Raw genomic sequence first — 13262 nt, 5'->3', positions numbered from 1 at the left:
ACTTGGGAGGCTGAGGCAGGAAAACCGCTTGAACCTGGAAGGTGGAGGTTGCAGTGAGCCGAGATTATGTCACTGCACTCTAGCCTGGGCAACAGAGAGAGACTCCATCTTATACACACAAAAAAACAAAAACAAACAAATAAAAAAACAAGATCAAGGTACAAATTCAAACTTCGAAGTTTGAACTCAGCCTTCAAAGATGGGAAAAGTTTAAGTGGGTGGTAGAAAAAAGCTGGAAGTAATCCGAGCTTATGCAAGAGTTTTTAAGTAGGAATGGGCATAACTGCGGCCAATGAGAGGTAAAAGGACGACCTGGGAAGGTCGTGATGACCATCCAGAAAAACACAAGCCAGAACGGCCAATAGCGTTGCAAGATGGAAGGCCTTACAAGTGTGTAGGTCACGATGATTTATGGGATTTCTTAAACTGTGGTATCTGTGCCACTAATGGTCCTGGAGATGGTCGTAGAATGACAATTAAAAAAAAAAAAACAACTAAAATGCTATTTATTTCGTTAACCAAAGGTGTATTAGACCACATTACCCAGCAATTCCACACCTAGGGATATATTCAAGAGAAATGAAAACCTACATCCAAACCCCATGCACAGAGGTCCAAAGCAGCATTAGCCATAATAGCAAAAAGGTAAAAACAACCCAACTGTCCATCAACGGATGAACAAACTATGGTATCCTGTGGAAACAACAGTGACTCCATCTTGGATGCTAATCTGCCATATTGACTTCTGATCAGTCCCAGCTCCGTGAATGCCTCCTGATTCCTACTTTATTTCCAGTCCTTAGCATAACAACGTGTCAACTTTGATCATTCTTGCCTCTCCTGGAGGGTTGCCTTCAGTTGTCTTGTACACAGCGCTTATGCCCTTTCCCTAAGGTATATAAGCCCTGGGTCTGGGGAGTAGCAGTGTGGAGCTCTGTCTTCCTGCCAGTCAAGACAGCTGTCTTTAAGTTTTCCCAGTAAAACAGCTTTTAATGTCAAACTGGATTTTTCTGCCTTGTACTTTGGTTTCTCAGCAACTTCAGCATTTGGGGACCACTTTGCAAATACGGCCCTTTCACGGAACATGTCCACTTCAGGAGAATTATTCAACTATAAAAAGGAATGAAGGCTGGGCATAGCGGCTCACACCTCTAATTACAGGACTTTGCGAGGCCAGGGCAGGCAGATCACCTGAGTACAGGTGCTTGAGGGCAGCATGGGCAACATGGCAAAACCCTGTCTCTACAAAAAGTAGAAAAATTTAGTCAGGCATGGTGGTGCGCACCTGTACTCACAGCTACTCTGAAGGCTGAGGCAGGAGGATCACTTGAACCCGAGAGGCAGAGGTTGCAGTGACCTGAGATCATGGCACTGCACTCCAGCCTGGGTGACAGAGCAAGACACTGTGTCAAAAAAAAAAAAAAAAAAGGGGGGTGTGGGGGTGAGGACTTAGAAAAAATAGTTATTGTTTAGATTTTAGATTTAGGCTATAGTAGGAAGTCATTTGTTTAAGGAATAATTTTTGAAAAGTTATCAAGGAAATAAGAAAACGGGCTACGTGGATTTATTAAACAGTTCAGAAGTGACATGCTTGGGAAGCTGCGTGTTTCCTTTCTAATCTGTAGAGCAAGCTTCCTCCCTGCAGAAAGGAACCGCAGTTAGCTCCCTAGTCCGCAACACAGAGAATGGAAACAATCCCAGGCCCTTCTTGGAGGGAATTAGTAGAAATGCTGAGGACCACAGGCTTCATCCAGCTGCTAGGAGAACAAGGGAGTGGGTCTCCGGGAGCCTGGGGAAAGCAGCAGCTCAGCCCCAGTGCCTTGACCCCGAGTCTGGAGAGCATGGCTCCGCCACTGATTAGCTGGAGGACCGCAGGCCAGTTCTCAGTGTGCAGTTCACACATTAGTCAACTGAGGAATGTTCTGCATCCTTCATCTACGGATGAGCAAAGCCGACTTACACCACCCTGGGCCTGCTTGCTGCCTGGCAATAGTGCTGTAATAATAATAGTACGCAGGCACTATCCGATTTACTTCTCTAAAAGTTATGTGAGTGAGGGCTGTCTCAAACCTATCCATCTGTGTTTTGTTTTTGAGAGGGTCTTGCTCTGTTGCCCAGCTTGGAACACAATGTTGCGATCTTGGCTCAGTGCAGCCTTGAACTCCTGGGCTTCAGCGATCTTGTTGTTTCTGCCTCCTTGCTTCAGCCTTCAAAGTAGCTGGGACTACAGGTGCACACCACCATGCCAGGTTAATTTTCAGCTTATTGGTACAGATGGGATCTTGCTATGTTGGCCAGGCTGATCTTGAACTCGTGGCCTCAAGCAATCCTCCTGCCTCAGCCTCCCAAAGTGCTGCGATTAGAGGCGTGAGCCACTGCTCCTGGCCTTGATCCCTGTTTTGGGTTTTTTTTTTTATTTTTGTTTTCTTCTGGAGCTGAAAACTGATGTCCAGAGAGATTCTCACTTATCAAAGGTGGCTCAGGTAGGAGGTGGAGGTGAGACACCTAGGTCTGTGTTCTTATTAATGCAAAAGTACCTCCTTTACTACTGTCTTTTCTCTTCTCTCTTCCTCTTTTAACTTGTAGATTCTGAATCATGAAAAGTAGAATACTTATCAGCCGACCCTGTAATTTAAGCCCAGACACCCCGGACTAGATATATCACTAAGGTCCCTCCTAGCCCGGAAATTATAATTATAATGATTATTTTCTTTTGCTTTCGTACTGCAATACACAGCAAACATTCCACCAAGGAATAAATATGCTAAACTCAGTGAGGTATTTTAGAAGGAAATGATGATCTGGTCTGAAATCAGAAATGCACTCATTATGTTCGTATTTCCTTCACAGCAGCATGCAGAGGTATCATTCCAAATGTTTTAGCACTGGATAGATTAGACATAAAACAAAAGATGGGTTTCTAACCCAGAATGCAACACTATTTTTTGCTTAATGTTTCTGGCTACGTCAAGTAGAACATTCTCATCAAGTGCAATGTATACATGAGGTGGGGAGTATAAATCATCCATAATTATAATATCCTTCACCCCAAGAGGCCTTTAGTGTTTGCTTTATAAAAGTTACACAGTTGAGACTGGCACCTTGCTAATAGATTGGCCCTCCCTGAAAATACAATTACGCCACATGCAGGGCTGGGAAGTAGTTTAGCATGCCTGCTGTCACTGTGTGTTTCAGACTCAATAGCTTCCCACAGTGGACTTAACCGCTGGCTGCCCAGACGCTTGGCTAGGAGGGTACGCAGGGGAGGACAGAGCCTGGCCCAGCTAGGCAAGGAGCCAGGTCTACCAAGGGCTTCTAGGAGACCAACTTGCTGCCCAAACAATCTGGTGGCCTCAGGGCTTGAGTTGCTCTGGGAAAAGCTTGGGGATGCTACCGACTTATAACTTCTCCTTCAAAAGACACCCTGAACACCAGGCACTGGGCTCAGTGCTGGGCATCGGGCACTGCAGATGATGGGGCCGAGGGTTGTGGGGGTGTGAAGAAGGCCGATGGCAACATGCTCAGGGTCTGGTGGGGGATATGAGAGGAAAGATGTTCTCAAACAATGCCGTGGCTTGCCGGAAGAGACAGCAGCTGCTCTTGGCCTGAGCTAACACGCTCATAAGGGGGTTAAAATGGGACCATTCTCCTTATCCCCAGTTGAATCTTTTGAACAGCATGACACAGGCTGTAATTATGGAAATGAATTAAAAGTGCTACTTTATAACAGTTAAATAGGTGGACAGATAATAATTTCCGATACCCTGTTTTTGCATTTAAAAAAATGTTTTTCAAGTAACCCACAGGAAAAACAAAAAAACAAAACAAAACAAAAAAACGTGTCTTCTTCAGCCTCCCAGCGGCCTGGTGGGTGGACAGACGTTGCTTCCATAATGGTTTTCCTGCCTGGGGCCCTTTCCAAGTTCTTTTCCACCCATCAGAAGCCCATCCTCACCCAGCAGAAATAGGAAGTAGAATATAAAGCACAGTGTTGGGTAACAGCCAGATGAGGTGAGATATTGCCCAAGATCCCCTGAGGACCAAAAACAAGGAGCTCTAGGCTGGGCTTGGTGGCTCATGCCTGTAATCCCAGCACTTTGGGAGGTCAAGGCAAGAGGATCACTTGAGCTCAGGAGTTTGAGTCTAGCCTGGGCAACACAGTGGGACAAAGTCTGTCTTAAAAAAAAAAATTAGGCGGGCACGTGTGGTGGCATGTGCCTATAGTCCCAGCTACTCAGTAGGCTGAGGTAGTAGGCTTGCTTGAGCCCAGGAGGTTGGGGCGCTACAGTGAGCTATGATCATGCCACTGTACTCCAGCCTGGATGACACAGTGAGACCTTGCAAAAAAAAAAAATAGTAATAACACACACACACAAGAAAAGAAAGCAAGAAAGCAAGAAAGAAAAAGTAAAAGAAACAAAGAGAAAAGAATTTAAACCTAAATCTCAGAAGGTCTTTAGTTTAGTTATCTTAGCCCACCCAGAATACTTCAATCTGATCTATCTGAGCCGCAGGGCTGGAAAGGATCCTGAAAAATCTTTACTCACAGAGAACAGACACCTCATTTCAGTAGCCCCGTGGTTCGCAAAATGTACCGTCCCCACTCCGAGATCCACATCACCTGGGAACTTGCTAGAAGTGTAAATTACAGAGCTCCACCCCAGAGCTATTCAGTCAGAAAATCTGGGGCTGAGCACAGCAACCTTCATTTTAACAATGCCAGCAGGTGCTTCTGACGTACCCTCAAGTTTGAGAAACTCCACATTAGAGAAATTACTCCACGTGGGAATTTAAGTTTCAGATTATTTACCTCATTCTTTATGGCATGAAAATAGAACTCAAACGTAAAGTTCTGAAATACTAGTAAGTATAAATGATAGAGCTAAAAAAAGCAACAGCATATTTATTCACAGGAAGAAAACTTCTCTCTCAAAGAAATGGTCCACAAAAAGGAATCTTTGAAGAATGCATCTTACTCTACTTAACATCTTTATTCTTGTTCTTTCTACTCCCAAGCCTCAAAGGATTGGTGAACCAAGTATTGCCCAAATCTTACACTGTGTCTTCTATATTTGGCCACATCTGAAGACCACCTGTACTATGATATAGTTAACGTCTTTTCTTAAAATCACTTTACTGAGATTTTTAAAAAGTAAATTCATTTACTGAAAAAGAAGAAAAAATAGATCTCTTCTATAAGTGGAAACAAAATTATTTGCTGTAGGTATGCATGGTAAAATAAACACAATACAAATAAAAGTGTTATTAAATAGCAGGTAAAAAGAATTGCCTGTCTGCTATGGATTGAACTTTGTTCCCACCAAAAGATGTTGAAGCCCAACCCCTTAGGATCTGTGAGACGTGATTTGGAAGCAGGGTCTTTACAGAGGTAACAAAATTAAGTCATTATGGGTCATAGTTCAATATGACTGATGTCATCATAAAAAGGGGAAATTTGGACAGGGAGACAGACATGCTTATGGGGAGAACACATGCAGGTGAAGGCAGAGATCACACTGACAGAGTTAAAACCCAAGCAGCACCATGCGTTGCCAGCAACCACAGGGAGGGGCATGGAACAGATTCCTCCTCCCAGCCCTTAGAAGAAACCAACCCTCCTGACACCTTGATCTTGGACTTCTGGCCTCCACAAGTGTAAGGCAAAACATTTCTGTTGCCGAAGCCTCCTAGTTTGTGGAACTTTGTTATAGCAGTCCTGGGAAACTAACGCACTACCCAAGGTTCAAGTCTTCAGTTTGCTTTTTTTTTTTTTTTTGAGACACAATTTTACTCTTGTTGCCCAGGTTGGAGTGCAATGGTGCGATTATCGGCTCACTCCAACTTCCACTTCCCAGGTTCCAGCGATTGTCCTGCCTCAGCCTCCCGAGTAGCTGGGATTACAGGTGCCTGCCACCACGCTCGGCTAATTTTTGTATTTTTGGTAGAGACGGGGTTTCACCACGTTGACCAGGCTTATCTCAAACTCCTGACCTCAAGTGATCCGCCTGTCTCGGCCTCCCAAAGTGCTGGGATTACAGGTGTGAGCCTCTGCACCTGACCCTCCTTCCTCTTTACTAACAGAGATTAGCAAGGAAGGCAAAGGTATAAAGACCAGCATGAAATGGAGGCATTCTTCTGGATATAAGCTTAGATATACCAGTCAACTGAAAAGGAAACAACCTTCTCATTCTCAGACGTAGGATCTGATGGTTTTGCTGTGTAATCTTCCCAGGCCTCCTCTCCGCTACTTTAGGAAATGATGTTGCTTTAGAGTCACACTGCTGGCTTTGAAGCTGAGAAGGGCCACGAGCCTCGTAATCCAGGTGGCCTCTAGAAACTGACAAAGATGGGAAACTGCCTTCTCCCATAAAACCTCCGGAAGAAATGCAGCCCTGCTGAGGCTTTGATTTTACCCCAATAGGGGCCGTTTTGGACTTCTGACCTCCAGAACTACAAGGAAAAGCATGTAGGTTGTTTGAGTGATTAACACAAGTGGGGAATCACCCACTCAGGCACAGAGCCAAGTCCTTGATTTTACTCCAGCATTGAACCTGGGGACAGAATTCCTGAGATAAAGTTAAAGCTCTCCTCTTTGTGTGTGTGGAAGGGAAATAGGAAGATGGGTGTGGAGACGGGGAGTGGAAAAGACACTCACTTTCTTTGCCCCTAAAAAGATTCTCTGTGCCCAACTCCCTACACGATTCTGGAAGTATGGAGAAAATGCCTGAACTGCAAATGTGAAGTAATCATCTCATGAGACTCCTCTTAGGATTTCTCTTTTCCCATTTTCTGCTTGAGTCTGCTTTTTCTACTTCCTAGAGTTCCATCAAAGCCCCGCTAGAATGCCCAATCTCTTTGCACGCTACCAAGGTTTTCCGTGGTCCAGGGTGGGACGTACAGGCACAATATCCCTTCCTAGGAGACTTGTAGCCTGTAGAGGTAAGAGTAATGAACAAGAGGTAAACAAACCAAACAAACAACACCTTTCAAGAGAGATCTGCCTGAGGAGCAATATTGGAAATCAGAAATGGCTCATGAAGTTTGCTAAGCAAAAAAAAGCAAATCCTGCCCGAACAGAATTAGCAAAGGAACCGATATGCAGGCAAATTCAGTCACACGAGGGTGGTCCGAGCAGACACCCCCAACTGCACACCTTGCTTTAGATCAACAGAAGACCGATGGCTGCAGGTAATAAGGGAAGAACCACACTCGGGAGAAAATAACACCAAAAAAAGTGAAACCAACAACAGTCATTGTGACTGCCACGACTTAGCATGCATGTACCACGTGTTAGGCACATAGGATTCCGACTTCTCTATCCTCACTTGATAATTTCTTTGTCTGATTTTGTAAAAGAGAGAACAGGCTTGGGGAGATTACATGTCCCTCGCTTCTAGGTAGCTGAGCCTGAATATGAATGCATGTTTGCTGGAGATAAAGCCATCACACAGGTGGAACGCCTTTAGAGAGTGTGATAGACAGAATCTTGTCTCATGCCAAAGATGCCTGCATCGTAATCTCTGAAAGGTGTGAATACGTCACCTTGCCTGGCAAAAGAACCTTGGCAGATGTAATAAAGGATCTTGAAATGGAAGAGTTGCCAGGATTATCCAGGTGGACCCAAAGTAATCACAAAGTTCCTTACAAGAGGAAGACCAGAGAAGGAGGTATGTGATGCTGGAAGCCAGGGCTGGAGTCTGAAGGCCACAATGCTGGCTTTGAAGATGAAAAGGGCCATGAGCCATGTAATCTGGGTGGCCTCTAGAAACCGGCAAAGGGAGGAAACTACATTCTCCCAAAGAACCTCCAGAAGAAATGCAACACTGTTGACGTTTGATTTTACTCCAGCAAGACCCATTTTGGACTTCTGACCTCCAGAACTGCAAGAAAATACATTTGTGTTGTTTTAAATTACACCTAAATTGGTGATCATTTAGTTATAGCAACAATAAGAACCTCCTACAGAAATGGAAGTCTAAGCATGTTCAGAAGCAGAAGAACGGAGCCCCCAGAGAGAGCGTGTTGGGGGGAAGCACAGATTATGCCAAATTATCCTAGCAGCTGCAGTCATGAATGCTTAGGATGTGCCTAGCATTGTTCAAAATTATTATATAAACTAATTTAGTCCCCACAATAGCCTTGTGAGGCTGGCACAACCTCACCTCCATTTATCAATGAGGTAACTGGGCAGAGAGACAGTAAGCACTTGGTCCCAGATTGCACAGTGAGTCAATGAGGTGAACAAGGATTGAGGACAAGGCATTCTGACCCTGGAGCCTGCCCTCGTCATCCCAACTGGACCCTGCATGGATAATTAGAGGGCCATATTCTGGAAGAAATAGGATAGGATTCATTAACCATTTCCACCTAAATCACGGGGGTTCAGCACTGTGCCAGGCACATGGATAAGACATGCTTGGCACTCTGAAAAGTAGTTTGGGAGGTGAACCTGATAAGTGAGTTGTCAGCTATAACCCGGAAATACCTTCCTAGAGGATTGGGCATGCTGGGGAGAAAGTCTAGAAGAGGTCACACCAGAGGCCAGAGGTATCAGTGGAAAAGTCAAAGGTTCCTGGGAGGAAAGAGAAGGCAGGCAGACAGACACACATCGGGGTTAGAAGGGTGCAAAGGCAGAGTAACTTGGATGAACAAGACAGGCCCAAGCCATGGTCAGAGGCTGGGGGTGCAGGCCTGCCCAGAGCCGCAGGAGAGGACACCCGAAAGGCTGGAGGAGAGAAGATGAAATGCCAGATCTCAGGCAACACAATGCTGAGCAGAGGTAATAATCTGAACTGCACGGATGTAGGGATGCAGAGAAGTAGATTGTTAGGAGCTGAATTGTTTCCCTCCAAAACATGTGGATGTCCTAACCCCCAGTAGCTGTGAATGTGACCTTATTGGAAATGGGGTCTCTGCAGAAGATCAAGTAAAGATGATTTGGATAGGCCCTAATCCAATATGACCATGTCCTCACTAAAAGGGAAAATAGAGACACAGAGACATCCATGCTCACGGGGAGAACTCTATGTAAACATGCAGGTGGAGATTCAGGTGACATATCTACAAGCAAGGAGCACCCATGACTGCCAGCCAACCACAGAAGCTGGCCGGGCATGGGGGCTCATGCCTGTAATCCCAGCACTTTGGGAGGCCGAGGCGGGTGGTTCACCTGAGGTCAGGAGTTTGAGACCAGCCTGGCCAAAATGGTGAAACCCTATCTCTACTAAAAAATGCAAAAAAATAAGCCAAGCATGGTGGTGCATGCCTGTAATCCCAGCTACTCAGGAGGCTGAGCCAGGAGAATTGCTTGAACCCAGGAGGCAGAGGCTGCAGTGAGCCAAGATCGTGCCACTGCAATCCAGCCTGGGCAACCAGAGTGAGACTCCATCAAAAACAGAAACAAACAAACATACAAACAAAAACAGAAGCTAAGAGAGAGGCATAGGACCGATTCTCTCTCCCAGTTTTCAGAAGGAACCACCCCTGCTGGCATCTTGATCTCACACTTCTAGCCTTCAGAACACAAGACGATCAATTCCTGTTATTGAAACCACCAAGTCTTTAGTTCTTTCTTAAAGAAGCCCTAGAAAACCAATACATGGATACCGCCATTCTCTCAAGGACAGCTCGATACACTGTTTCTCTGAGTGAAGCTCTGGGCACTGGGAATACTGAAGGAGGCACATCGGTAAAGATGACTCTCACTGTCAGCACTACAAACGCTTTGCTTCGGGGGCCATCCTGCGCACTGTAGGATATTTAACAACATCCCTGGCCCCTGCCCTACAGATGCCAGGAGGACATACTCCCCTGCCAAGTTGTAAAACACAGAAATGTCTACAGATATTGTGAAATGCCTACTGGGGAACAAAAATCACTCTGGTTGAGAATCCTTGGAATACGGAGATGACATGGAGATCATAAACAATTATTATGTTTTAAATTTAGTTCTGCAAGCTGGGTGCGGTGGCTCATGCCTGTAATCCTAGCACTTTGGGAAGCTGAGGTGGGCTGATCACTTAAGGTCAGGAGTTCAAGACCAGCCTGGCCAACATGGTGAAACCCCATCTCTACTAAAAATACAAAAAATTAACCAGGTGGGGTGGCAGGTGCCTGTAATCTCAGCTACTCAGGAGGCTGAGGCAGGAGAATTGCTTGAACCCAGGAGGTAGAGGTTGCAGTGAGCTGAAATTTCACCACTGTACTCCAGCCTCAGCAACAGAGCAAGACTCTGTCTCAAAAAAAAAAAAAAAATAGTTCTGCAAATATTTATGGAGCACCCAGTCTGCTCTGAACTAGGCTCTTTTTAAGTCCCAAGAGTTCAGAGATGAAGAAAACGCTGTTCCTGTCCTCAAGGAAATCCAAACCTATCAGGATTTACTGGAAACACTACTGATGTACCCCTTGTTTTTAACTTGACAAAGAACAAAACCATAAAGAAAAGTTTCTAGAGATTAGATTGCGGTTATATAAACTCACTTTTTTTTAATGCATACACTCTTATTTCAAATTATTTCAAAATAAAGTCGCATTTCCACAGGCCAGAGGCTATTTTCCCATAATTTTCTTCCAGCATTGTTTATCCTGTATTTTTTATGAGTTTCGGTGTTATTACCGAGTTTTCAACAATCATTAGGTAGTGCCTGAGACACAATTGAATACAATTTTATTACCCCAGCCAACAGACATAAATATTTAATCCTTCCGCTCCACATGACAATGTATATTTTGGGGGGGGGTAATAAATTGCTTTTTGGGGTTGCCCATAGGATGGGCACCTTCTACAAATCTGCTTCGACGTTTTCTCTAATGCGCTATTGAATACATCAACACTGTTTGCAGCCCTAAGTGAGGCATTATAATTTTTTTTTAATGATAAAGCAAAGCGTTCCATCGAAGACAAAGTATCAGGTGGAGATGAGCTCACTGTTCCTGATTCTACTGGGCATTCTGCCCAACCAGAGGAAGGCAGAGGATTTCTTCAGAATGCTGCAGAAGGACCCTGCAGCCTGGCACCTAACAAAGCTCACCTTGGAAACACAAGGGCAGAAGGAAGTCAATGTCACTACAGAGAAAGCCTGTGGACACTCACTTTGCTTCCAGGGATCAGCAGAGGGCCAGGGAATAAACATACAGCCCTCAGCCACTAATACCACCGTGCCAAGGCAGCAGGTTTCCTAGGCAGGACCGGCTCAGTCTGTCTCTTGAAAATACCATTTCCATCCATGGCATGCAAACTTGCCTCAGGCATTGGAGAGAAATTCTTTCTAACAGGGATGATTAACCCACTGTCTTTTTTTCCCCTTTTGGTGGTGATGGTGGGGGCAATGTTGCTAAACGGGGAAAATTGGAATAAACACAAAGTCCAACCTACTAGCTAGATGATTTGAAGGGGTAACCAAACATCTACACTTTTTTTTTTTTTTGAGATGGAGTCTAACTCTGTCCCCTAGGCTAGAGTGCAGTGGCATCAGCTTGGCTCACTGCAACCTATGCCTCCCGGGTTCAAGCCATTCTCCTGCCTCAGACTCCCAAGTAGCTGGGATTATAGGAGTGTGCCACCATGCTCAGTTAATTTTTGTATTTTTAGTAGAGGTGGGGTTTTGCCTTGTTGGCCTGGGAGTCTCGAACTCCCAACCTCAGGGGATCCACCTGCCTCTGCCTCCCAAAGTTCTAGGATTACAGGAATGACCTACTGAGGCCAGCCATTCTTTTTTTTAATTTTTTTTTTAAACAGTTACAGAGACTGTTAGCTAGGAAGAAAGGGCTAAGGAACAAGTGTTATTGAGAAAAAAAATGGATAAAGAATAAAGGATTTGAAAACCCTGACCAACTGTAAAATGCTAATGCTGCAAAACAGTCTTTTTGGATTTTTTAACAACACTGACTCCCAGGGAAGAAAGTTAAACGAAGTTTATTAAGTAATTCAATTTTGTACAACTTGAAAAATTCCTCTAACTCTTTTACCATGCTAACAAGCACAGCACCTCTGACAGACTGGCTGCCAGGGAGGCTTCATCCCCACTGCTTTTGTTTACCCAGCAAATTGTAGTTTTGTTGTCTGAGGGAATTGGGAACAGGGGAATTTGTAGAAAAGTGTAATAGAGAGAAACTTCACCCAACGCAGAACAAAACAATTCTTCTCTAACAAAATCAGCCACTTTGACTTCATTCTCCTCCAGCTTTGTGTAACACAAGTAGCCCGGGCAGGTGAACTGGCCTTCCCAGCAGGTGCAAGGCGAGGGTCCCTGTGAGTAGAGAAAACCAAGGAGAAACTGACGGGAAAAAGCAGCTGCTTCCCCAAACAGTCCTCAGGTACAAGATGTATGAATTTTTCTTTCTTCTTCTTCTTTTTTTTTTTTTTTTTTTTTTTTTTTTTAGAGAGAGTCTCACTCTGTCACCCAGGCTGGAGTGCAATGGCATGATCTCAGCTCACTGCAACATCTGCCTCCTGGGTTCAAACAATTCTCCTGCCTCGGCCTCCCGAGTAGCTGGGATTACAGGCACCCACCACCACACCTAGCTCATTTTTGTACTTTCAGTGGACAGGAGGATTCACCATGTTGGCCAGACTGGTCTCAAACTCCTGACCTCAACTTATCCTCCCACCTGGGCCTTCCAAGGTGCTGGGATTACAGGCATGAGCCAGCCCACCTGGCCTAAAGATGGATGGGTTTCATAAGCCTACCACTCGTGCCTCACAGAGAACAGGTTCAACAACAGAAGTCCCTGCAAATGACAGTTTAGAACACACATGTGCATCAAAAGTGCATGCAATGTGTTAAGATGGTGTTTACATACACACACAGACACAGAGCTTTCATTTCTCCTTTAAAAATGATCTGAGAACGAACTGCACTATTAGGTATAGGGGTGGTGAATAAGAGCATCCGACTTGCTGTACCCGCACAGCCCCCATGGGGGTAGCTTATCTCTGTATGACCTCAGGTGGGGGCATTTGTAGGCTGTGTTTTGTGACCACGTGGTCACTCCCTGGGATGTGAACCTTGGATTTGCAGATTTGTACCTCCAAATGGTGCCAGCCTCCTTTAATTACTAAACATCCTCCCTGGCAGCTTGATCTAGAAGCTGTTTGCTCCCAGCTTCACCACCCTTTCCAAGTAATGACGTGCATTCCCTTTACAGCCCGCCTGTTGGGGATGCAATTGCTTCCCTCCTCTGGCTAAGCAGCGGCAGCTCCGAAAGGCCCTCAGCCCTCTGCCTCTCACCTCTTTCTTTTGAGGTCCTATTAGTCCCTCCCA

The 13262-nt window shown here is 45.1% G+C and overlaps 1 protein-coding gene across 30 annotated transcripts in view, besides 1 other annotated feature; it reads right to left on the bottom strand.

The window, feature by feature from the left end:
* RBFOX1 (RNA binding fox-1 homolog 1) overlaps positions 1–13262 on the bottom strand; it is a 2473620-nt gene that overhangs the window by 796362 nt on the left and 1663996 nt on the right. The gene's annotated exons all lie outside the window — the stretch shown is intronic.
* Positions 3394–3894: an enhancer, noted in NCBI's record as "H3K4me1 hESC enhancer chr16:6963086-6963586 (GRCh37/hg19 assembly coordinates)". NCBI's record gives its function as "activates a minimal SCP1, AML or CMV promoter by ChIP-STARR-seq in naive H9 embryonic stem cells {active_cell/tissue: H9 hESC(naive)}" and the evidence as "EXISTENCE:reporter gene assay evidence [ECO:0000049][PMID:30033119]".

This window comes from Homo sapiens, chromosome 16 (assembly GCF_000001405.40).
Source record: "Homo sapiens chromosome 16, GRCh38.p14 Primary Assembly".
Lineage (NCBI taxonomy): Eukaryota > Metazoa > Chordata > Mammalia > Primates > Hominidae > Homo > Homo sapiens.
Note: the sequence above shows the minus strand (reverse complement) of the source record. Positions and strands in the feature narration are given on the sequence as shown.